General features: G+C 37.1%; 2 long non-coding RNA genes across 2 annotated transcripts in view; both read left to right on the top strand.

Moving 5' to 3' along the window:
* Positions 1–4727: 4727 nt before the first annotated feature.
* The window catches only part of LOC107986525 (uncharacterized), a 28005-nt gene continuing 5697 nt past the window's right edge, over positions 4728–27035 (top strand). Inside the window, exons 1-2 of the long non-coding RNA XR_001743825.2 lie at positions 4728–4788; positions 15113–15211. This is a non-coding gene — a long non-coding RNA (uncharacterized LOC107986525). The remainder of the gene's footprint in view (positions 4789–15112; positions 15212–27035) is intronic.
* The window catches only part of LOC285762 (uncharacterized), a 38756-nt gene continuing 30369 nt past the window's right edge, over positions 18649–27035 (top strand). Inside the window, exon 1 of the long non-coding RNA NR_046100.1 lies at positions 18649–18785. This is a non-coding gene — a long non-coding RNA (uncharacterized LOC285762). The remainder of the gene's footprint in view (positions 18786–27035) is intronic.

Raw genomic sequence — 27035 nt, 5'->3', positions numbered from 1 at the left:
CTTTTTTCTCTCCGTAGGATTGTCTTCACTAAACTTATAGAAATCTCCAGTCATTTTTATGATATTTTGGTCATTTACAGTTATTTATGCTCCCCCCCCACCCGCGTTGAAAAACCACTATAGTATGGTAAAACAAAATTTCACTCAAAAGTTTATTATTATCAATTTAATATTGTCCTGTCCTGCCTGCTGTAGTTCAGCAGCACAGCACACCAGCAATTAAGATGGGCAGTAGTCAGTCTAGAGCTCAAGGACACAGTCTCTGGATTCAGATGACCTGGCTTAAATGGCAGCTTATAATCTATGGGATGTTGGGCAAGTTACTTAATCTCTCTGTGCTTCATCTTCATCCATACAATTAAGCAAAACCTGTAGAGTTGTCATAAGGATTAAATGAGATGATGTATACAAAGCACTCAGCCCAATACCTATACCAAGCAGACAGTGAATTTTTAAAAAATTAAAATTGATGTTTTGAAGAAGAATGAAAATTGACCCAGAAGTTTAAAGGAGAGATTGACACAGAAACCAGAGGAAGAAAGTAGCCTCATATGAAAGAATTCTTTAGGATCAAGCATAAAGCCTCCAGTCAAGGTTCCCCCAAAGAATTACTCCAACTATTTTAACATGTCTTAAACAATTTTAGCCCAAAAAGTACCTTGTACTAATCAGCTCTTCACAGTTATTTTTTAAGTACTTTTATATGCCTACTTACACATGGTACTACACTAGATGGAGTTTATTACAGTATTTCTATTTTCTAGATAAGGAAATTACACGCAGTGAGGTTAGCTCAAATAGTCCCTGTCACTAGTAAATGACCCTGACAAACTACAGTAGTCTGAACACTTGTCCCAGGATTGTCTCCACCACACCAATCGCATTCAGATAAACCTCTTTCTTTCTATCCGGATCACAGCTAATGAAAAAGAGAGAGAGAGAGAGAGCTAGAACTACCAATGAAAGGCAAAATACGATATTTACAATGCCTAAATAATATTTCAATATGTTCCACATGAACACAAGATTTGGGTTAGAGAATAGGCTTTGCATTTGGCAACTCAAATAGCTCGAAGATCCTGAGAGCTATGCTGGCCAATAGAATAATGACTAGCCACAGGCAGCTACTGAGCACTGGAAAAGTGACTAATGCCAAATGTCAAAATGATAATATTTTGGATATACTGAGTCCAATAAAATACATTATAAAAATGTATTCCCCGTGTCTAATTTTCATGTGGCTACTAAAAGTCCTTTTGAATCCAGTAAGCATTATATTTCTATTAGGCTGAGCTGTAAGGTCATGATAATCTGAAAACTAGGTTCCCTCTCCATACCTGTGTGCCAATGCTCTTCACTGCAGTAACACTGAAGTTAATATGACTGAGACGTAACTCTCTAAGGCCAATTAATCAGCAGTGCATTTGTAAGAAGTAATTGTCTCTCACTATATATCACTTCAGCAAAACAGATTGGTATTTCTTTGTACCTCTACAGCTTAGTTATTGTAGCCCCAGGGAGTAGAGTTTTCTCAATATGTGACGGACCGATGTGCATCTGTTGCTAAAGTAATTTCTTTCCAGTTAACACATGCAATATAAGACAATGAATTTTAATTTTTTTCTAACTATCATCATGAAAGAAAGTATCTGAGAAAATTGAGTATTTTAGAGAAAGGTCAAGTACTGTTAACAAAGTTAATTTTACTTGGTATCTGCATGTCACAGTAGTCTTCCTTCTGACTCAAGAACAATTGCTAAGAACCCTTTGAAGTTCATGAGTAGATATAAGAGAAATAGATTGTGACATTTTTACCTGCTAACTTAGCATTGAAATGTTCACAATGTCAAGTGGGAAATTAATAATTATGCTACTTTTTGCCACTGAATGTCTGTCAAAGAGAACAAAACCATGTCAAGCAGAAGCAAAGTAGAGATGGAAGCATTTGTGACACCATCTCTCATCCCTGCATGAAACAGGAAATCAAAGACAAGTTCAATATATGCCCCCCACACTAAGTTAATAGACACATAGAACTGGTAAAATAAGACAAATTAATTAACTTAGTATTCAGCCTGCCTTGAACTACGTGTCAAGAAATACATTCTGTCACCTTAAAATTTAGAGAAATTTAATAAGGGGAAAAAATCTCAAGTGGGAAATCAAACTTCTGTAACATAGATTCATCCTTACCTGTATAATATCCATATTCACACTAATAAGAATAAGACAAGTCAAATTTCTTAGTAGACACATTAATAAAAGCACTTAAAACATAGATTTCTTCAGGTAATCTATTTGCACCTGAGTGTTGGGGTCACTTTTGGGTTTCTCTAGCAGTGGATCAAGCCAACAGCCAAATTAAAGTGTATAACTATAAAACATCTTATTCTCTGGGGTTTTGTGAAAATATAGATCTGATTTGTGAGCCACCGGAAATATCCCTTCAATGAAACATACTTTACCAACAGATTCTGAAAGCTCCTCACTTGTAAGAGTCATCCGTAAAACCCTTGCCCCTATCAGAGGTATTTTGGCTATCAAACAAAATTATTTCCTTATTAGGGTATTTGGATCGGGCATCCTTTTTCCTAGGCTGGAGGAGAGAAGGGAAGGAGGTAGATGTTCAAATCTAAAGGGAGTGGGGTACCACTTCAGAGGATGAGAGATAGGAAGCAGAGAGTGCTAAAAACCAGCAGCATACTTGAATATTTGCCTTAGGAAAAGAGGTGAGCAATAGTCTTGAAAAAATGGCTAGGGTCTCAGATTCACCCAGATGAATCATGTTAAAGTCAAATGTGCACTTTGCATTCATAATGAACTTAAATTCCAATGGATCATCTCTTAAGTTTCTGATGCTAAATAATTTTTAAAAAATACTAAAGAGCTTGGTGTTGTAAAGGAAACTCACCTGAGTAACAATTTCAAGATGGCAAGAGTCTCAGAGTCCTGCTTTTTCTCACCAGCTGAAAAGCCAGTAAGTCTTAATTGTCTCTAAACAATCTCCAGCTGTGTAACCTTCTTTTCATGCAGGATCCTTATAAAAGAAAGGCTCATAAAATAGTTTTCTAAGCACTATATTTATGCTGGAATTTAAACTTCAATTACAAAGAGAAATTATATCTACCATTTGATGCAAATGCATTTGAACACATTATGACTATAAAAGTAAAACCTGCCTAATCCTCTCATAAACTTTGTAGTTTTATAAAACTCTTATTGTTTTACATGCATAAAATGTGAATGACAATCAGCATTCTAAACAGAATCCTAAGTCAAAAACACAAAACTTCATGATATTCTCAATGTTTTCTCCTCCAATCTATTCTATATAACAAGCAGAGTGAAATGTCTCCCATATTTTAAAAGTAAAAATGGGTTTATTATTCTATTATTTCTGAATCTTATTGATCTACTGTTCTACTGTCCTACACTAAAGACATTCAGAACTATATTTTATACTTTTCCAACACACCAATATTTCCCTAAGTCCATCCTAATTTGCAACATGAATCTGAAAATTTTTAAAACTAAAAATCTTTTCACTACTTAAAACTCTCAAGGCCGGGCACAGTGGCTCACACCTGTAATCCCAGCACTTTGGGTGGCTGAGATAGGTGGATCACGAGGTCAGGAGTTCGAGACCAGCCTGACCAACATGATGAAACCCTGTCTCTACTAAAAATACAAATATTAGCCGGGCGTGGTGGTGCACTCCTGTAATCCCAGCTACTCAGGAGGCTGAGGCAGGAGAATCGCTTGAACCCTGGAATCGAAGTTTGCAGTGAACCGAGATTGTGCCACTGTACTTCAGCCTGGGCAATAGAGTGAGACTCCATCTCAAAAAAAAAAAAAAAAAAACTCTGAAATTGTTAAGGATGTTATGGAAATCCAATAACTCCTCGATTGTCCCTCTGATCTCAAATCAAAATGAAGATTTGGAGCAATTTGGTTGGAAACAATTTGCCACTACTCCTAGGTCCTAATAGTCAATAAACATTTTCCAAATAAACATTTTCTAAATAGCTAATATAGAAAGATTACAATTCAAGGGAAGAAAGGAAGAATTTGCATAGGAGGTGGGAGGAAAACTTTTCCTTCATAAGAATGAGATTGCCAAAAGAAAGAATTTTGCCCTACGCAAATTTTAAGTCACCATTATCAACTAATTAGTAAGAACAAATCCCTATGTCCCACAGCCATAATTCAAATCAATCCCTGTGTTAGAGACAAATTTTCTTTCCTCAGCACTCACTCCCGTTCCCCAGTACAGGAAGCTTTGGGAATCTCAAAAAGTTTGTCTCCTTGGTCACATCCATTGACCCTGTCTTTCTGAGTCATCGGGAACAGGGTCTAGGCGAAGTTGTAAGTTTATAGATGTCGGGAGTGTGGGGCCAGGAAGATTGAGAATGAAGGCCATAGAACCTTATGCCTCCTTTCTTCCTCCACGCATTTTTCTAGAAATATTAGGTTGATGGTAAAGGATTAAATTATTTATTCATGTTCATGTTTTAGGAAAGTTTTCCGAATAATGTACATGTGGCATATAATAAAACAAGAGATCAACAAGAAATCTAAAAATAGTATCTCTTTTACTGCCTTGCTCACTGTTCCTAAGGAGAATGCAAGCTTACATTCTTAGAACTCACAGTTATCTTAGCCTGAAAATTGGAATGCATGAGGGAAAAGCTGCCATTCACTAACTACATAACAAAGAAAATTCTGCATATCATGCCAAGACATTATACAGTAGGTGGTGTTAACATAGGAAGCCTTTATCATGAGAAGGTAGAAACCCTATTACCTCCTAATAACTGCAACCTGTAATACGAAGTTCTATTTTAGTAGAGCTTTGTATATCTTTAAAAAATAAGAAAAGATCATTTGTCTCCCTTTCTATGAACCGGGCCACACAATGAGTTGCCAATGCCTTTTCTTTTTTTATTCTATTCTCTCAAAAAAGAGAAGGCAATAATAGTCCTATAAGGTTGACTCCACATGAATAGACTAAATTCACAAGAATGGAATTTTTCATGAGGAAAAGCGCCTCGCAGCACTGCAGGCAGAGATTAATATCTGGGAGTAAGTAGACCACAGAGCATTTGATAAGTGTTGTTTCAAACATTGTCTGTAAAATATAATTTCAACAAGCCAGAATAAAATCCATCTTTTTAATTTGTAGTCACACCATGTAAATCAGGCTTCTTACAGAAATGCATCAGTCTCTCAGGAATTATTAGGGAATTGATGATACACAGCTGTTTCCAATAGTGCTGCTGAGAGCCAGGTAGGAATGAGGCCTGTGCTCTCACTTTGGGCCAGGTGAGAAAGGTGAAGCAAACACTACCAGCAAACTTCAGGCCACAGCAGGCCACTGGTGCTGCCAGCTTTCCACATTCTTGCTCAGAAAAAAAACAGCAAAGCCCTCTGAAAACATAAATTGACCACCCCAACCTGAGCAGCTCTTCAAACTCTCTAATAGCATTTCTGGAACACTGGGTGCCCTGTGGGGTGTGGCATGACATTACCATGACATGACCTTATCTGGTTTTGCTGTAAAGGGTATACAGTAGTCTTGTGACTCTTACTTCATGGGCACCTCCAGAGTCAGACCCCAAAGGGAAGAGGGTTTACTGATCTGGACATCAGCAGAGCCACTGAAACAATCAACTGGGCACACTCTGTTAAAGCACTTCTCTGTAACAATACTTGACAAGCTTTTACTTGCAAGAGCTCTATAAGAACAGGAACAGGACGGGCTGAAAGGAATTTCCCCCTTGCAATGGAATAAACCATGTACATTTACAATGCTTAACTCAACTATAAGTTCACAAAACGAAATGCAAGTAACACCCATAGTAACTATACTTTGGGCCTACTGTTAGCTGCCAATCATTTTTGAGGAAGATAGTGCTAAAATCCTATTATTATACAAGCCTAGGATGATATTTCTGCCCTGATTGTGAACAAAATCTTTTTTATCTCTCTTATTACGCTTTTGTAAATTTAAATTATCATTAAGTATTCAAAAAAGTTGTCCTAAGCACTGGAGAATATAATGATGTAAAAGATGCATATAGATGTGTCTACCTACTCTGGCTGACTCATATTAAAATGCACTGACAATATTTAAAAAGAAGGAGACAGAGAAAGAGAGAGAAATGAATTAATTAATTAATTAATTGGCCTAGGGGCCTGCATTTCATCAAGTCTGCCTCCCATTCTCTGCTGCCCTAACTCTCCTGGTTCTTTAACCCCTTCCTTTCACCCTGTGCCCTGGCTACCATTGCTCAGCTGACCCCTCTTGATAGGCTCCTAGGTTTGGATCCACTTTCTGTGTTTTGACTTCAGCACTTCCCACCCCAGGACCTGACTTGGTATCCATCCACTTGCTTACCATCTGCAGTGTGACCAGGGGATAAAGGCATCCAGGACCTCACACCCCACTGAGTCCCTGTGGGATGAACTAGAAGAGGAGACCCTTTTCTCAATTCCCACATGGGGAAAGGACCAAGCAGGAGGCTGTGGAGAGAGAAGTTCAGCGAGACTAGAAAGCCAGAGGGTGTTGGTCTTGCCCTTCCTAGCCCCATCCAGCTAGAGGAATTAGATGTTTAGATAGCACACTTAGCCTGATGTAGTCACTGGGTCTAGACTACAAGCCCAGAAGATTATTAGAGACTTTGTCCTTCCAGCACATGGGATCTAAAATAATCTTGCTGTCTGAAGCCCAGCCTCCATATTCACCTTAGCCACAGTCTTCCCCCAACTCCTCCAGTGGCTGCCCAGTTCTATACCCCAATTCCTGATTCCTCAGAAGCTCCAAAGTGAGAGTGGAGACCTGCCATAATGCTAAACAATTGCCTGCAATGCTAACAATACACCTAATCCCGGACAGCCTTCACACCCAACATGGAACTTAGTCGCTAAGCTGTCACCTGCTGGGTTGGGATCCAGCTTCAATCCGGAGTGACCTTCAGTCCCAAAACATGACCACTCGACTTATTTCAGCATCACTGAAGCCAAAAACTCCAGCTTTTGTGCGCTAGCCATGCAAGCGAACTCTTAGGTATCAACACTAAGCCTTGTCTCTTGAACACAGCGAATGACCTGCTACTTCTCTGCGGAACTAAACCATCCAAACCTCCTGGAATTCAAAGTCAATCCCCATATCACTGGCTGCACCCATTGCTAACTTTCTGCCTTTCCTTTATGCTACACCTCATGATAAAATCAATATGGATTATAATTTAAAAATTAGGAGACAATTCTCCAAGAGTAGAAAACAAGTTTTCAGACTTCAGATATACAGTATTTCTCAATGATGATAACAAGGTCTAGAGATTAATATCATTTAAGCAAAGTGAAGGAATTTGGAGGCTGATGCTCAAGTGGTTAGCTGATATGGGGACATGGCCTGGAGGTTGGTGGGCAAGGTAGGCAGAATTCAAAGATGGTCCTCATACCTCAAAGACGGTATTATTCCTGTGATTAGGTTGCACTACCTAGCATAATGCAATTATAGATGTATTTAAGCTTACTAATCGGTTGACCTACAAACAGGGAGATTATCTAAATGGGTCAAACCTAATGACATGAACCGTTTCAAAACTGAAACTCTTGTCCAGCTGGTTGCAAAGAGGAAGTCAGAGAGTAGAAGCACAGGGAGGTTTTGGTACATGAGAAGCTCTCCAATGCTAGCTCAAAGAAGGAGGCAGGCACATGGGAAGGACCTGAGTACAGACTGTAGAAGATGAGGTCAACTCACTTTCAACAGCCAGCAAGAAGATGGGGATCTCAGTCCTACAAGCAGAGAATTAAATTCTGCTAATTACAAAATCAGATTGGAAGGTTATCCTCCCCAACCCCCATCATCAATCCTCCAGGAAAAAGCCCAGCCCAGCCACACTTTCATTCTGGCCTTGTGAGACCCTGAGCAGGGAAGCTAATCAAGCCTACCTGGACTGTGACCTACAAATCTGTGAGCTAATAAGTGATTGTTGCTTTAAGCCACTCACTTTGTGGTGATCTGTTATGTAGCAATAGCACACTAATACAGCGGTGCCAGTGACCAGGATGGAGAAAACTTGATATGGACAAATGACATGAATCTCACAGGGAAGAAGGAAGTGTCACTTAGACATCAAGATATTTAGAAGCACCACAGATGAGTCTCATGTGACATCCATGACAAAAACCTTTGCCCTAAAGGTTATGTGTTGCATATCCAGTGCTACAGATCCTCACATATTTAGGACCATCAATTAATTGAAAATAAATACTAGATTTTAACATACAGAATGCATTTTTCCCTTGCACAAATTTTTCATTGTCACCCATTAATTTTTAAGAACTAAAATTAATTGTATTTAAAGGTTGAGTCTTGGTGTATTTATATAACATAAATTTTATTTCAAATATGAACTATCATAGATAAGCAAGTGGATGGATAAGCACATAGATTCAGAAAAGTAATAATCTGATAAGATTTCAGCATTTTATCAGTATTTTCTTCTTATGAAATAGATTTCCATTTATTTCATGAACTATATATTGGTAAAGCAATTTCAATTTATCATTTGATGGTCTTATTGTTTCTAGGAGAAATCTCAGTTAATTTAGAGAAAATAGTACTTCACATATGAATTGATTAATTAAATCAATTGTAAGTTTTTAAGGTAAAATTATGATTAGAACTTGTATGCAATGATCCATTTTGTAACTTGTAGGGGGAATGAAGAGGTCTTCTTTATAATTGCTGTAATATGAGGGAGCATCTGCTGCCATGAACAAATTTTTTCTATCAATTTATCATTTTAAATGAACGAAATAAAACTGTTATATCAATGACTTGCAATTTATAGGACTTTTACATCTCCACAATTAGGCAATGTCAAGATGCCCTTAGAAAGAGTCTGGCACTTCTGAGTAGTAAATAGTCACTTCTGGATTTATTTGCAATTCACTTATTCAGGTAATTTTGCACTAAATTCCCTGCCTTGGAATTTACTATCCACTTAGAATTTTGCTATTTCCTGACTGTAAAGGATAGCCCTCCCCAAAAATGTGTATTTTAATTTTCTCTTATTAATCATAGATGAAAATGCTCTGCATTGAGCCTCCCTAACATGAATACTTTAAAATGCTATGGATTATCAATGCAAATATGACTAATCTACAAGCAGAAATGGAAATATGGACATCTTAAGAGAGTTTTAGAGCTACAAGAATAACATGGATAAGGTAATATGATACAATCCATGAAAAAGAAAAATTACCTGAAGCAAATATAATGGAATGTTACCATTTTTACAGTAAACAAAATAAAAGAAACAAAAGACAGAAAAAGATTGAAAGGGATTTTATAAAATTATCTTTAATTTCAGATGAAATAATTGTAATAAAGTAAATCCTAAGAAATCTACAAAGCTACTACTGAAACTACTAAGTGAATTTAGCAGTATCATAAAATACAAGGTCAATATGAAAAATTCAGTTGTATTTCTGTACATTGGCACCAAACAATTAGATGTAAAATTTAAACAATAATTCCATTTATTATAGCATCAAAAACATAACATCTACACTGATTTTAAAAATTGAGAAAATATTTCAAAGATCTAAATAAAGAGATATACTATGATAGTAGGTTGGAAGAATCAATATTATTAAAGTGTCAATTTTTTCAAAATTAATTTGTTGATTCGATTTTAATTATAATCCCAAGAAGCTGTCTTATATTATAGAATATTATAAGCCAGTTCTAAAATTTACTTAGAAATACAATAATCCTTGATAACCAAATCAGTCTTTAAAAAACAAGGTGTAGGACTTAGACCACCTAACCTCAAGACTTAAAGAAAAGCTACAGTAATCAAGATAGAATTGTATTGGCATAAGGACAGACAAATAGGTCAATATAGCAGAATAGAGAATTCAGAAATAGACCACACTAAACCAATCTATTGATTTTTCAATGAAGACGTCAAAGAAAATATTTGAACAGGAAAAGAAAATCTTCTCAATGAATGGTTCTGTGATCACTAGTCATCCAGATGAGAGAAGAAAATGAGAACCCTGAAACCATAGAGAAAATTAATTCAAGCTGAAAAAAGCTAAAACTTTAAAGTTTCTTTTTTGAAAAAAAAAATTGGAGAACATCTTTACAAATTGGTATAGACAAAAATGAAAATGTCAAGTACCTGACTGGGGAAAAATATTTGCAATATGTATGTTTGACAAAGGACTTGTTTCCAGAATATAAAAAACTCCTACAACTTAGTAATAAAAAGACAATGAAATGAAAAACAGCAATAAAAAACACTTGAACAGTCACTTAGAAAGAGAAGACATACGAATGTCCAATAAGTACATGAAAAGGCACTCAACATCTTTAGTCATCAGAAAAATGCAAATTAAAAATGCTAGAATGGCTAAAATTGAAAAGACTGACAATACCAAATGTTGAGGAGGATGTGAATCAACTAGGACTCCCACATATTACTGGTGAAACTGTAAAATGCCATAGCCACTTTAAAAAATAGTTTGGCATTTTCCTATAAAGTTAAACATACACCTACCCTCTGACCCAGCAATCCCACTCCTAAGTATTTATACCACCATCACCATCCCACCCAAAAAAAAACACGAAAACATAGTTCCACAAAAAGACTTATTTGTACAAGAATCTTCACAGTAGCCTTAACTAGAAACAAACTAAATGTCACACATCAACAAGGAAAATGGACAAATGCAATGAAATACTAATTAGCAATGAAAATAAGTAAATTATAATATGCACCAACATGAGTAGATCTCAAAAATATTATGCTAACTGAAAGAACATGGACACAAAAGAATATCCTTTGGATGATTTCCCTTATTATGAAGTCCCAAAACAGAAAAATATAATCTGTTATGACAGAAAAGTCAAGAAGTGGTTGCCCCTGGAGGGGCAGGGAATAGACTGAAAAGTGGAATGAAGAAACTTTTTGGACTAATGAGACTGTCATATATTTTAGTTTGGGTGGTTGTTAAATGGGTTCATACAATTGTCAAAATCCCTCACACCACACACTTAAGATTTATATATCTTATTGTACGTAAATTATAATTCAACTCTTCTTCTCCCAACAAAAAGATGGAAGAAAATATGACAGAAAGTCACCCTTTGTTAATGCTGATTGGTGGATATATGGTAAAGAATAATTCTCTACACTTTTTGTATTTACCAAAAAAAAACTTTAAAATATTTGAAAGTTAAAATTTAAAAATATATGTCTAAGTCAAATAAATACTTTGTGCTTCCAGGAAACTTGCAAAGTGATACAGAGCCAAACAGTAAATAAACCTTTGCAATTCATAAAAATCAATATACCAGCAAGGACTTTGATTCTCAGGTTTCTGAGATACGAGTGTGGCTAGGATACAAGAGATCAGATCTGAAACAGGAGACATTCACAAAGCTCTGAGGCGCTTACTTTGGGATGTGACTACAGTGGACTAGAGTACCTAGGCATTTGTCTTGGGCCATCACAATTTAGAATTTAGAATCAAGTAATAATTTTATATATATTACATATATATTTAAATTTGTTCCTTTTAAAATATGTGGCATTTACTTGTTTACAGTATATGTCCCCTTTCAGCAACACAGAAACAAGTGAGCTCAGCACTTAGCTGCAAAAATAACCAGTAAAAATAGACAGTGACCAGATGGTACCCTCTGATAATAGCACTAACTGAAAGCGACATAATAAATTACATAGGTGACAAATTTGCTTTTCATTCTACTTGTCCTGGGCTCCAAGACTGCTTTGCTCTCAACTCTAAGGTCATAATGTAATGTTTTTTACTCTAAACTAAGTGTGTCAGCAACTAGATTCCAATTAGTGGTACAGGAGCTCCTAAATACCAACATTATGCTGGGATGTGTTCTTGTTGGATGGACACCCCTGACCTCCATTCAATCAAAATCGAAGTGTTCAGTTCAACTGAATGCTGACTTGACTTCTACTCCTCTGGATGTCTTAAAAAAACCATTCCTGGTTCAAGCCACACCAGCAAAGAACTCAGGACTTGAAAAACATGGCTTTGGCCCCTTAGAAAATCACCTTTCATGAACTGCACTTGATAGTATTAGATAATTTTTAGAAATTCCACTAAGGATATTGCCCATAAAAATCTTAAGGTCCCATATATGAAGAAGTGCCAGAGACCTCTCTGTGAGGCCCCAATGGTGGGGAAATTGTGCTACCTCTGAACAGTACTGTGTTGACACATGAATCCCTCAGTAGAACGTGATCTCCTCTTTGCTTTGACTACTAAAAATCTCAGAAGCAAATTGGCAACCCAGTTCTGGCAATTTTCCATAAACTTACTTATGAATTTTTTAATGATATATTACTGTATTAATTTCTGTTAGCTTCCTAAAATTCTCCTGGAGGAAATAAAATTATAAATAATGTAATTTACAAATTCATCAGTCATATGATTTATTTATTTATTTATATCTATATCTGTTTGCATAAAGGATTTAAGATGGCTCCATCAGGTATATCTAAAAATAACTGAAACTCAGATTATATTTACCGCAGTTTCATTCTTTTTTCATAGAGATATTACATACCTACAGAACAGTTGGGTGAATACTTAACGAGATACCTAAAAGAATGAACTGCAGTAAAATAATACATTATTTAATGCCTTGGGATATTTTAAGATGGTAATTGGTTTTTATCTTAGGATCATTCAAAACACAAATAAAAGATATCTTTTCTGATGTCTCTATGAAAGGACAGATAGCATTTGGAACTAGACAAGCTACTTTCCAACATCTTGACAGAGTGGAGACCCCTACATCTCAGTCATCAGTCTGAGGGATATGGGAGGAACGCTTGTATTTATAAGTATAAATTAACCCCACTTGAAATAGAAATTATGGTTTTAGAAAAATAAAGTTATATTTCCTGCAGACCTCATTCTATACACTGGGGTCCATATTGAGACTCAAAACATGAAACAGGATGATATGATTTTTCTATATACATGTATATGGGAGTTCCAGTGGCACAACAGGCTAGCAGGTGATGCTTATATACATGCATATGTCCAGCTACATGAATTCATATATGTACAGCATTTCTCAGAGCAAACATTGGTAGGAAAAATGTGAACCAGCTGCTATTAACTACATTTTACAAAGAAAATCTTCCTGTACATTTTCTGTGGGGTTAAAATTGTCATTAGGTTGTTGTCGTTGTTTTTATCAAAAAGATAAGGTGGATTGTTTTGATAATACAGTTATTTAAAAATAAGCTCTAGGAATATCAGTTGGAGCATTTAAGTAATTCATATAGTGTACTTCCGAAAAGTCTTTTTCCATAACTTCAAAATACTTTCAAGAGTTTTTCTGATCAATCTTGGCCACATATAATGAGTAAAGAACAGACATTTTTGTTTTCAAGTGAAAAACTTATAGCCTAAAATGGTTAAATGACAAATGGCTTATTGAAGTTGGCCCAGTGGGTCCCTGACAATGGAATGATTAAAATAGTCTACATACTGTTTGACCTTCAACATTAACATTCATTGATTAATATATATCAGTTTTACCGTAATGAGCTATTTCTTCTTTGCCCTTTTTACATTGTTTCCTCCTCTTCTATAATTACGACTGACTTTTGAATTCCATCTACAGAGTAGATAAATTCTTTATTATGGTGATTCTATCTAAAGCTGAAATGACTGCTAAACTATTCAAAACAATTAGCAGGGACAACTGCCATGAATGTGGTTCTCAAGGCCCACAAACAGCCATCAAAACTAAAGCTACAACCTACAGTCTTCCATGTATCCTTCACCTGGTCAAGTTTATGGCTTCATCCTTGTGCTTCCTGAGGCTTGATTTGGATGTCTGCCACAGGACTTTACCCATCTTGACTTATAATTTGCTGCCTATATGGGCATCTCCCTCCTTGGACTGTAAGCTCCTTGAGGGCAGTAACAATGTCATGTCATCTTTGTATTGTGTCATCCCTCACAGTACCCAGCGCAGCTTTGTGTACAACTGGTCCTGAAAGCTTCCTCAGCTCATTCCAGCCCTCAGGTATCTTGTTCTCCTCTGAACTGCTGTGGTACTTAAGCATGCACTGAATTAAAATAATTTGTAGTATAACCCAAAGGGAGATTCTGTTTACGCAAAGTCTCATTTACAGTGATTCATTCAGGTGGGCAACAAACAGTCCAGCCAAGAATTGGCACTGTACCGGAGCCGTGGAAAGCATCATGCTGCCTATTCATGTTTTCCCCTCTGCTGCCTGTCACGCGTCTTCAGTGACGGCACAGCCAAGGCTCTGATGGAGTGCCCTTGCCATTAGCCTATGGCCATCTGTCATGCCAGGTTGTAAATGACAGCAGGTCAAGGGAAACAGGCAGGCAGCCAGAACCAGGAAACTGGGATACAGATAAAACATGAGGGTCACAACAGCAATGGAGTTAGTCAGAAGTCATTAACCAAAAAAAAAAAAAAAAGTCAAAAGGACACTGACAGCAGAGGACAGAGAATGATAAAAGGCCAACAATGAACAACCGGAAAATCAGCAAGAGTTGAAGGTTAGCCCAAAGTAGAGGGTTATTACACTCAGATGAGGTTACACACACAGCTGCAGAGACATGCTGACAGGATTGAAAGAAGGCACTTGTCACACAACTTTAAATAACAGTCCCGTGACTGAACCTACTATCAAAAGTGCACTTTGAACTAACTTTTCTAAAATAAATCTTGTAACATCTTATGAAAAGCACAATTATATTACATTGTGTTCATACCTAAGGAAAGCCTTCATTTATGAAATTTACACATTTTAAATAGTCCACAATTTTTTGCTATCCCGTTTCATGTTTTCTTCTGTTTTATAACACATCAGGAATTTTACAAATTGTAAGATACTTAAGGAATACTTGATTCATTGTACACACTGCTTTTATCATGCTGACAAACTGACATACAAACCAACAAGACTTGAACCATCTTCTAGTTCACTGAGGCCACACCTAATCTCCTCACTCTGATTTTGAAGGCCCTCTGTAACCTGGCTCCAACCTCTTTTTCCAGCCATAACTCCTACGGTGCATAAGAGTAAGACACTCCCTTTCAACTTTTCCTCTCCATGGCAGAAGTATGGAAGAACCTCAAAAGTTTCATGAGCTCTGGGTAAGTCTGAGCCTTCTCTAGGCTCTCCCTCGCCATTGGCAGGAATAAAGAGGGGGCCTTGATCTCTGCATACTCCTGGCAAGACCCCCACCCTATCTTCTCCTCTACAGCCTTGCCCCCATCATCTGCCTTGAAACCTTTGAGGCCAATCTGACCCTGCTCTGTATCTTTGCATACATGTGTCAGAAAAGCCAGTTCAGACCCCCAGGTCTAGATATCCCCAGAATCACAATGCCTTCTGTATCATACTGCCTCTCCCTTTTCATTATTTTCCCAGTTATATTTGACATTAGATATATTTTCCTTATTTATGTGGCTATCTTCCTCTACTAAAACACAGCCTGTATGAGGACAGGAATTTTTACCTGTCTGGTTTCCTACAGTATCCCTGTTTCCCATAACAGTTGCCTAAGACATAATAAGCCACAAAAAATATTAAGCTAATGAGTGGGTGAAAAAAAAAACCGTATTTGAACAGTCTGCCCTACTTCCTGGATACAAGCAAATATTTTACTGCTCCATGACTTTGTTCAAATAGTTCCTGATGCTGCAGCTGGGGCCCTCCCTTGCTCCTGTTTGTCTCTGCAAATCCTATCTGTCAAGATCCATCTATAATCCCTCCTCTTCTGGAAAGCTTTCTCAGCTTGTTCCAGCCTGCAGGTATCTTGTCCTCCTCTGAACTGCTGTGGTACTTACTGTCATTTAACCATTAATCATAACCTCACCTGTGCCAGCTTTGCAGAGTTATGTAGAACCACTGTTTCTATCTTCTGTGGTTATTTAACTTATCACTTTTTATTTGTCTTCCAAACTAGATTGTAAAGTAATAAGAACAAGAATCTTAATTTTATTCCCTCTCAGTTGCCCTGAAAAGCCTCCCACAGAATAGAGGTTCAGCAGATTATTGTTGAATAAATGATTGAAACAATTTAGAACTGAGTCTTGAAGGGGGAATAAATACAAGTTTCATTTATCTATTCTAAAAGATGAGATTGGAGCTTCATTTTGTTTTGGTTAGACTCTTAGTACAAATGGAATAATAGATGTGCAAGTATTTTGAAGAGTGTGTCATAAGTCAGGAACAATCTAATCAGTGTAAAAGTGGCATGGAGCAGATTTATTCTTTCTCCAGGCAAATGCCTACTTTGTTCAGGTGTCCACTTTCATCTGCACAGTTCTGTGCTTTAGGGGAAATTATACATGCCTCATCCCCAGAAAATGGGTTCTTTTTTCCATAAGTTATTGGGGTACAGATGGTATTTGGTTACATGAGTAGTTCTTTAGTTGTGATTTGTGGGATTTTGGTGCACTCATCACCTGAGAAGTACACAGTGCACCGAATTTGTAGTCTTTTATCCCTCACTCCTTCCCATTCTTTCCCCCAAGTCCCCAAAGTCCATTGTATCATTCTTATGCCTTTGCATACTCATAGGCTAGCTCCCACATATCAGTGAGAACATACAATGTTTGGTTTTCAATTCCTGAGTTACATCACTTAGAATAATAGTCTCCAGTCTCATCCAGGTCACTGAAAATGCTGTTAATGCATTACTTTTTATATCTGTGTAGTATTCCATCACATATATAAATATATAAAATATAAATATATATGATACATAAATATCATATAAATATATATGATATTTATATAACATATATGATATTTATATAACATATATATGGTGAGATATATATATATAACTGTGAGATAGATAGATAGATAGATAGATAGATAGATAGATAGATAGATAGATCAATTGATCTCACAGTTTCTTTATCCACTTGTTGGTTGGTGGGCATTTGGGATAGTTCCATGATTTTGCAATTGTGAATAGTGCTGCTATAAACATGTGTATGCAAGTATCTTATTCAAATAATGACTTCTTTTCCTCTGGGTAGATACCCAGTAGTGGGATTGCTGGATCAAATGGTAGCTCTAATTTTGGTTCTTTAAGGAGTCGCCCCACTGTTTTCCATAGTGGCTGTACTAGTTTACATTCCCACCAGCAGTGTAGAAATGTTCCCTCTTCACCTCATCCACATCAACATCTACTGTTTTTTTATTTTTTGATTATAGCCATTCTTGCAGGAGTAAGGTGGTATTGCATTGTGGTTTTGTTTTGCATTTCCCTGATCATTAGTGATGTTGAGCATTTTGTCATGTTTGTTGGCCATTTGTATATCTTCTTTTGAGAATTGCCTATTCATGTCCTTAGCCCACTTATTTACGGGATTGTTTGATTTTTTTCTTACTGACTTGTTTGAGTTCATTGTAGATTCTGGATATAGTCCTTTGTCAGATGTATAGATTGTGAAGATTTTTCTCCCACTCAGTGTGTTATCTGTTTACTCTGCTGACTGTTCCTTTTGCCATGCAAAAGCTCTTTAGTTTAATTAGGTCCCAGCTATTTATCTTTGTTTTTATTGCATCTGCTTTTGGGTTCTTGCTCATGAAATCTTTGCATAAGCCAATGTCTAGAAGGGTTTTTCCAATGTTATCTTCTAGAATTTTTACAGTTTCAGGTCTTAGGTTTAAGTCGTTAATCCATCTTGAGTTGATTTTTGTAAAAGGTAAGAGATGAGGAACCAGTTTTGTTCTCCTATATTCCAGCACCATTTGTTGCCAATTATCCCAGCACCATTTGTTGAAAATGGTGTCTTCTCCCCACTTTATGTTTTTGTTTGCTTTGTCAAAGACCTGTTGGCTGTAAGTATTTGGGTTTATTTCTGGGTTCTCTATTCTGTTCCATTGGTCTACATGACTATTTTTATACCAATACCACACTGTTTTGGTTACTATGGCCTTATAGTATAGTTTGAAATTAGGTAGTTTGATGCCTCCAGATTTGATCTTTTTGCTTAGTCTTGCTTTGCCTATCTATGCAGGCTCTTTTTTGGTTCCATATTAATTTTAGAATTGTTTTTTCTAATTCTGTGAGGAATGATGGTGGTATTCTTATGGGGATTGCGTTCAATTTGTAGACTGCTTTTGGCAGTATGGTCATTTTCACAATATTGATTCTACCCATCCATGAGCATGGGATGTGTTTCCATTGTTTGTGTCATCTATGATTTCTTTCAGCAGTGTTTTGTAGTTTTCCTTGTAGAGGTCTTTCGACTCCTTTATTAGGTATATTCTGAAGTTTTTTTTGTTTTTTTTTTCTGCAGCTGTTGTAAAAGGGATTGAGTTCTTTATTTGATTCTCTGCTTCATCGCTGTTGGTGTGGAGAAGAGCTACTGATTTGTGTGCATTAATCTTGTATTCGGAGACTTTGCTGAATTCTTTTATCAGTTCTAGGATCTTTCTAGAGGAGTCCTTAGGGTTTTCAAGGTAAACTATCATATCATCAGCAAACAGGGACAGTTTGACTTCCTCTTTACCAATTTGGATGTCCTTTATTTTTTTCTCATCTCTGATTGCTCTGGCTAGGACACCCAGTACTATGTTGAAGAGGAACGGTGAGAGTAGGCATCCTGGTCTTGTTCCCGTTCTCAGAGGGAATGCTTTCAACTTTTCCCCATTCGGTATTATATTGGCTGTGGGTTTGTCACAGATGGCTTTTATTACATTAAGGTATGTCCCTCATATGCTGATTTTGCTGAGAGTTTTAATCATAAGGGAATGCTGGATTTTGTCTAATGCTTTTTCTGCAGCTACTAAGATGATCATGTGATTTTTGCTTTTAATTCTGTTTATGTGATGTATCTCATTTATTGACTTGCATATTTTAAACCAGCCCTGCGTCCCTGGTATGAAACCCACTTGATCATGGTGGCTTATCTTCTTGATATGTTGCTTGAATCATTTATCTAGTATGTTGTTAAGAATTTTAGCATCTATGTTCATCAAGGATATCTGTCTGTAGTTTTCTTTTTTGGTTATGTCCTTTCCTGATTTTGGTGTTAGGGTAATGCTGGATTCATAGAATGAATTAGGGAGGGTTCCTTCTTTCTCTATCCTGTGGAATAGTGTCAAAAGGATTGGCACCAATTCTTCTTTGAATGTCTGGTAGAATTTTGCTGTAAATCCATCTGATCCTGGACTTTTTTTGTTGTTGGTAATTTTTAATTACCATTTCAATCTCACTGCTTGTTATTGGTCTGTTTGGGGTATCTAATTCTTCTGGATTTAAGCTAGGAGGGCTGTATTTTTCCAGGAATTTATCCATCTCTTCTAGGTTTCTAGGTTTTCTAGTTTGTGTGCATAAAGTTGTTCATAGTAGTTTTGAATGATCTTTTGTATTTCAGTGGTATCAGTTGTAATATCTCCTGTTTCATTTCTTAGTGAAGTTATTTGGATTTTCTCTCTTCTTTTCATGGTTAATCTTGCTAATGGTGTATCAATTTCATTTATCTTTTCAAGACACCAGCTTTTTGTTTCATTTATCTTTTGTATTTTTTTGTTTCAATTTCATTTAGTTTTGCTCTGATCTTGGTTATTTCCTTTCTTCCGCTGGGTTTGGGTTTGGTTTGTTCTTGTTTCTCTAGTTCCTTGAAGTGTGACCTTATATTGTCTGTTTGTGCTTTTTCAGACTTTTTAATATAGGTATTCAGGGTAATGAACTTTCCTCTTAGCACTGCCTTTGCTGTATCCCAGAGGTTTTGATAGGTTGTGTCATTACTGTCATTCAGTTCAAATATTTTTTTAATTTCTATCTTGATTTCATTTTTGACCCAATGCTCATATTCAGGAGCAGGTTATTTAATTTTCATTATTTGAATGGTTTTGCAGGTTCCTTTTGGAGTTGATTTCCAGGTTTTTTTCCACTGTCTCCTGAGAGAGGGCTTGATATAATTTCAATTTTCTTAAATTTATTGAGGCTCATTTTGAGGCCTATCATATGGAATATCTTGGAGAAAGTTCCATGTGCTGTTGAATAGAATGTGTATTCTGCAGTTGTTGGATGAAATGTCCTGTATACATGTGTTTAGTCCATTTGTTCCAACATATAGTTTAAATCCATTGTTTCTTTGTTGACTTTCTGTCTAGTGCTGTCAGTGGAGCATTGAAGTCCCCCACTATTATTGTGTTGCTGTCTATCTCATTTCTTAGGTCTATTACCAATTGTTTTATAAATTTGGGAGCTCCAGTGTTAGGTGCATATATGTTTAGGATTGTGATATTTTCCTGTTGGACAAGGCCTTTTATCATTATACACAGTCCCTCTTTGTCTCTTTTAACCACTGTTGCTTTAAAGTTTGTTTTCTCTGAGAATAGCTACCACTGCTCAATTTTGGTGTCCATTTGCGTGAAATGCCTTTTTCCGCCCCTTTACTTTAAGTTTATGTGACTCCTTCTGTGTTAGGTGAGTCTCCTGAGGGCAGCAAATAGTTGGTTGGTGAGTTACTATCCATTCTGGGGTTCTGTGTCTTTTAAGTGGAGCATTTAGGCCATTTACATTCAATGTTAGCATTGAAATGTGTGGTACCTTTGTTTTGCTGTTTTCATCCTGCTTTTTGTTGCCTGTGTACTTTGGGATTTTTGTTTGTTTTTTGTTTTTGCTTTTTAACTTGTATTTTTGTTTTATAGGTCTTATGTGATTTATGCTTTTTTTATTATACTTTAAGTTTTAGGGTACATGTGCACAACGTGCAGGTTAGTTATATGTGCCATGTTGGTGTGCTGCACCCAGTAACTCGTCATTTAACATTAGGTATATCTCCAAATGCTATCCCTACCCCCTCCCCCCACCCCACGACAGGCCCCAGTGTGTGATGTTCCCCTTCCTGTGTCCATGTGTTCCCATTGTTCAATTCCCACCTATGAGTGAGAACATGTAGTGTTTGGTTTTTCGTCCTTGTGATAGTTTGCTGAGAATGATGGTTTCCAGCTTCCTCTATGTCCCTACAAAGGACATGAACTCATCATTTTTTATGGTTGCATAGTATTCCATGGTGTATATGGTGTATATGTGCCACATTTTCTTAATCCAGTCTATCATTGTTGGACATTTGGGTTGGTTCCAAGTCTTTGCTATTGTGAATAGTGCCACAATAAACATACGTGTGCATGTGTCTTTATAGCAGCATGATTTACAATCCTTTGGGTATATACCCAGTAATAGGATGGCTGGGTCAAATGGTATTTCTAGTTCTAGATCCCTGAGGAATTGCCACACTGACTTGAGGTGCTGTTTTGATGTGTTTCCAAGATTTGCTTCGAGATTTAGAGCTTCTTTTAGCAGTTCTTGTAGTGGTAGTTTGGTAATGGTGAATTCTCTAAGCATTTGTTTGTCTGAACATGACTGTATCTTTCCATCATATATGATGCTTAGTTTCTCTGGACACAAAATTCTTGGCTGATAATTGTTTTGTTTGAGGAGGCTGAAGATAGGTCCCCAATCCCTTCTAGCTTGTCAGGTTTCTGCTGAGAAACCTGCTGTTAATCTGATAGGTTTTCTTTTATAGGTTACCTGGTGCTTCTGTCTTACAACTCTTAAGATTCTTTCCTTCATCTTAACTTTGAATAACCTGATGTGCCCAGGCAAAATCTTTTTGCGATGAATTTCCCAGGTGTTCTTTGTGCTTCTTGTATTCGAAAGTCTAGGTCTGTAGCAAGGCCAGGGAAGTTTTCCTCCATTATTCCCCCAAATATGTTTTCCAGGCTTTTAGAATTCTCTTCTTCCTCAGGTACACCAATTTTTCTTAGGTTTGGTTGTTTAACATAATCTCAGACCTCTTGGAGGCTTTGTTCATATTTTCTTATTTTTTTCTTTTTGTTGAACTGGGTTAATTCGAAGACCTTGTCTTTGAGCTCTGAATTGCTTTCTTCTACTTGTTCAATTCTATCGCTGAGACTTTCCAGAGCATTTTGCATTTCTAAAAGTGTGTCCAAAGTTTCCTGAATTTTTAGTTGTTTTTTTTTAAGCTGTCTATTTCCATGAATATTTCTCCCTTCGCTTCTTGTATCATTTTTTGGATTTCCTTGCATTAGGTTTCACCTTTCTCTGGTCCCTCCCTGATTAGCTTAGTAACTAACCTCCTGAATTCTTTTTCAGGTAAGTCAGGGATTTCTTCTTGGTTTGGATCCATTGCTGGTGAACTAGTGTGATTTTGGGGTGGGTAGAAGAGCCTCGTTTTGTCATATTATCAAGGTTGGTTTTCTGTTTCCTTCTCATTTGCGTAGGCTATGTCAGAGGGAAGGTCTAGGTCTGAAGGCTGTTGTTCAGATTCTTTTGTCCCACAGGGTGTTCCCTTGATGCAGTACTCTCCTCCTTTTCCTATGGATGTGGCTTCCTGTGAGCCAAACTGCAGTGATTATTGTCTCTTTTCTGGGTCTAGCCACCCAGCGAGTCTACCCAGCTCTGGGCTAGTACTGGGGGTTGTCTGCACAGAGTCCTGTGATGTGAACCATCTATGGATCTCTCAGCTGTGGATACCAGCACCTATTCCAGTGGAGGTGGCAGAGGGTGCAATGGACTCCATGAGGGTCCTTAGCTTTGGTGGTTTAATGCTCTATTTTTGTGCTGTTTGGCCTCCTGCCAGGAGGTGTGCTTTCCAGAAAGCATCAGCTGTAGTAGTGTGGAGAGGGACTGGCAGTGGGCAGGGCCCTAGAACTCCCAAGATTATATGCCCTTTGTCTTCCACTACCAGCATGGATAAGGAAGGACCATCAGGTGGGGGTGGGGTTAGCCATGCTTCTTTGGATTTTGTTAATAAAATAATACATTTCTTTATTTTTATTCTATCTGAGGCGGCTTTTCTGCTACTTGTTGCCACAAGCATTCTACATGATACAATGATGCTCAAAATGAACTAGAACAAAGATCTACAAGGGAATGCTCATAGCAGCCTTAATGACACCTCAAAACTGGAAACAACCCAGGTGTCCACCAACTGGTATATGGATAAGGAAACTATAGTATATCCATACAATGGAATATTCCTCAGTAATAAAAATGAATAAACTCCTGATACCTCCAACAACATAGAAAAATCTCAAAAGCATTAGGTTAAGTGAAAGAAGCCAGCCACCGAGGGCTACTTATTGTATAATTCCATTTGTCTAATATTCTAGAAAAGAGAAAACTTACAGTATGATGGTTAATTTTGTGTGCCTGCTTAGCTAAGCCATGGTACCCAGTTTTTTGTTGTAATTTTTTTTTAGAGAGAAAGATCTTGCTATGTTGCCCAGGTTGGTCTCAAACTCCTGGGCTCAAGTGATTCTCCCATCTTAGCCTCCCAAAATGCTTGGATGACAGACATGAGCCCCCACGCCTGTCCTGGTACCTAGTTTTTCATGAAATATCAGTACAGATGTGCTTTGAAGGTGTTTTTTGTTGTGGTGGTGGTAAAATACATGTAACATAAAATTTGTTATCTTAAATATTTTTGACAGTACAATTTAGTAGTTTTAAGTTCATTCACATTGTTGTACAACCTATCTCCAGAAATCTTTTCGTCTTACAGAACGGCAGGTCTATACCCATTAAACAATAACTCTCCACTCCCCTTCCCCCAGACCCTGGAAATCAACCTTCTACCTTCTGTCTCTGTGAATTTGACTACTCTAGTTACCGCATATAAGTAAAATCATACACTATTGCCTTTTTGTGGCTAGCATATTTCACTTAGCATGATGTCTCAAGGTTCACCTGTGTTATAGTACATGTCAGAATTTCCTTTTGTTAAGGCTGAATAACAGTATACGCTGCATTTTGTTTATCCATTCATCTCTTGATGAACACTTGAGTTGCTTCCATCTTTTGGCTATTGTGAATAATGCTGCTATAAAGTTGGGTGTATAAATATCTCTTTAAGACCCTGCTTTTCAATTCCTTTGGGTATATACCCAGAAGTGGAGTTGCTAAATGAAAAGGATGGGAAGGTGTTTTTCAGATGTGATTAAAATTTAAATAAGTAAACTTTGAGTAAAGCAGATTGCCCCCGACAATATGAGTGGGCCTTATAAAGGCCTTCAGAAAAAAAATTAAGGTTCCCATAAAAAAGAAATTCTGCCTTCAGACTGCCTTCTGACTTGAGCTACAGCATCAACTCTTCCTTGAGCCTCCAACCTGCTGGCCTGCCCTGCAGATTTCAGATTTGCCAGCCTTTACAACCACAGGAACAAATTCCTTAAAAATCTCTCTCTCTCTCTTTCTCTCTCTCTCAGGTCTGTTTTTCCAACTCTGATAAATATGTACAGGGACAGAAACAGATCAGTAGTTGCCAGGAGTCAAGCAGGATTGGGGAAAACAGATTGACTGCAAAGGGATACAAGAGAACGTTTTGGTGTGATGGGAATAATCTGTATCTTTACTGTCTATTACAGTACACACTGGACACATGTGGCTATTAAACACTTGAAATGTGACTAGTCTGAATTGAGATGTGCTGTAAGTATAAAAGACACATCAGACTTCAAAGATTTGAAAAAAATGTAAAATGTCAATAACTTTTATATTGATTACTAGTGAATATTTTTATATATTTGGTTAAATAAACCATATTATTAAATTTCACTTGTTTCTTTTTACTTTGTTAATGTGGCCACTAGAAATGTAAAGTTACATATGTGGTTTATTTCTACTGGACAATGTGGTTTATTGGACAATGCAGTTCTGTATCTTGATTGTGATACTGAATGCGTAACTCCTCAAATTATACACTAAAAAGGGCAAATTTTATTATATGTAAGGTATACCTTAATAAACCTAATTTTAAAATATGGGCTAGGAAATTAGAAATGTTACAAAATACAATTTAATGATACAAAAAGAATTATTATAATATTCATATTACGCTCATCCTCACTGTTATGTCTTTGCTCACTCACGTTATTCCCAGTGTCCGTCAAGTAAACTTATTCATCTCTTAAGAGCTGATTCAGTCAATCTCATGCATCATCCCCATTCCAGCTCTTCCCTGCTACTCTGATGTGTTTTCTCTAAATCCTTGCTGCACTGTGAGTCAGTCTGGTGCCTCCTTGATGACATGGAATTTCAGCATGTTGTGTCGGATAGCAGCCAAGAAAGTAGAAGGGACTCAGCGGCAGGGATTGCCTTCAAAGGGTGATAAGTTCAAAAGCTTAGATCCAGCTGAACTGGTTTTATAAGCGAAGCCTGACAGCCAACTGCAATGGCTCAACATCAAAATGTTTTCTATGTTTTTTATGTATGGTAGGTATGCTTCCTACCTGGAAGAAGTTACCTAAAGCCAGGAACGATGTCTCATTCTTCTTGGGCAGTTTTCCACAAGAATAACTAACCTAAGCTACACATGAAAGTCCACAATCCCTGGGATAGCCACTGCCACTTGACCTGGAGGTGTAAGACTATTATGATCTAATACCAACAACACCTCCTGCCTTAACTGAAACCTGGCTCTCCCAGTACTCCATATCCCCCTATGACACTCTATGGGGTACCCATTTGTTCTCTCACATCTCGTGGACCTCAGGATCTATAGATGTGCTGAGTGTTTTGTTCCCCAATGCTGCTTTTAGAACCAAACTCCCTCACTCACTTCAAAAAAAAAGTCACATTCTTTTAAAGAACATGAGTCTTTGCTGTTTCACTCTCTCTCTCTGCTCCCTGTCATGTCTAAGAAGCACATCACACATACCTCATTTTGTCAATATCTTTGACCTCTGGCTCACATCTTCCTCTTCACTGCAAGTCCTGCTATCAGTGTCCCAAAAGGACAACTCATCCAGCCCAAACATCAACTTCTAGTGGTTACATTCAGCAGCTAATCTTGGAGAGTATGGATACAATGAATTCATGTCCTACACCTTCTGTTCCTTAATTCCATCCTCTTTTTCTTCACCAGCCTATAGTATTCTAGAAATCCACTGAAAGAGGAAGGCTTTTGAAAGAATATGGAGAATGTTAAAAGCGATGGGCCTTTCTAGAAGCCTTCAAGAGGATTATATGTTTTCTCTTGTAATTTAAAGATGATTATCCAATCAATACATTTTAATGTGAGAATGTTGAACAACTATAGGCAAAGATAAAAATTTAAACGACACATAATTTCAACAGCTAGGGGAAATTTCTATTAGCATTTTCATGTATATCTCTTCCCAGACTTCTCCTTCTTAGTATCTAAATTCTTTTTCTTTTTAATAAAATGGCAACTTAGTGAATATACAATTTTGTAACCTGCTTTTTACATTTGCTGTAACATGAATATCATTCCAAATTAGTAAATACATTTTACATCATCGCTTTAATTTTATACTATAATTTATTTAACTAATACACAATTGTTGGCTACGTAGCACATTTACAGTGTTTTGGTATTATAAACAGAATAAAATGATCATCTTTATAGCTAGGTCTTTATGCACATTCTTAATTACCTTAAGATAAATTTCTATAAGTAGCCTTTCTGGGTTAAGGAATTTCTAATGTTAGGTACCTATTAATATCTAAGCATGTTTTGATAGAAACCTCTAAGATCTGTGAGTAACTACCTCCTTTTACACATTGTTAGACTATTTGACAGGATTCCCCTTCTGAGAGACAGAAGTAACTAAACTTCCATCAGGATTAGAACGAAGTTTTTTGTTTATTTATTTATTCTTAAAGCTGCCAGACTTTTATATTCATTCAACAAACATTTATTTAGGACCTGTTATGTGCTGGGCACCATGCCAGATGCTAAGGATAAGAAATGAGTTGACACAGTACAGTCCTCAGGCTGTCACAGTATCAGGTGTGAGATAAACACATTGAATGACGGACACAGTGTAATTCAATACACTTTTCTTGCCTGCATGGCACTACAGAGGAAGGTTGATAAAGGCTTCATCCTGTCTGAACTGTGATGTCTGAACCAAGTCTTGCAGGAAGTCTTCTGGTGGCTGAGATGGCGGCCGAGG

The sequence above is a fragment of the Homo sapiens genome, chromosome 6 (genome assembly GCF_000001405.40).
Source record: "Homo sapiens chromosome 6, GRCh38.p14 Primary Assembly".
In the NCBI taxonomy this organism is placed as follows: domain Eukaryota; kingdom Metazoa; phylum Chordata; class Mammalia; order Primates; family Hominidae; genus Homo; species Homo sapiens.
This window is presented reverse-complemented; position numbering and strand designations above follow the sequence as displayed.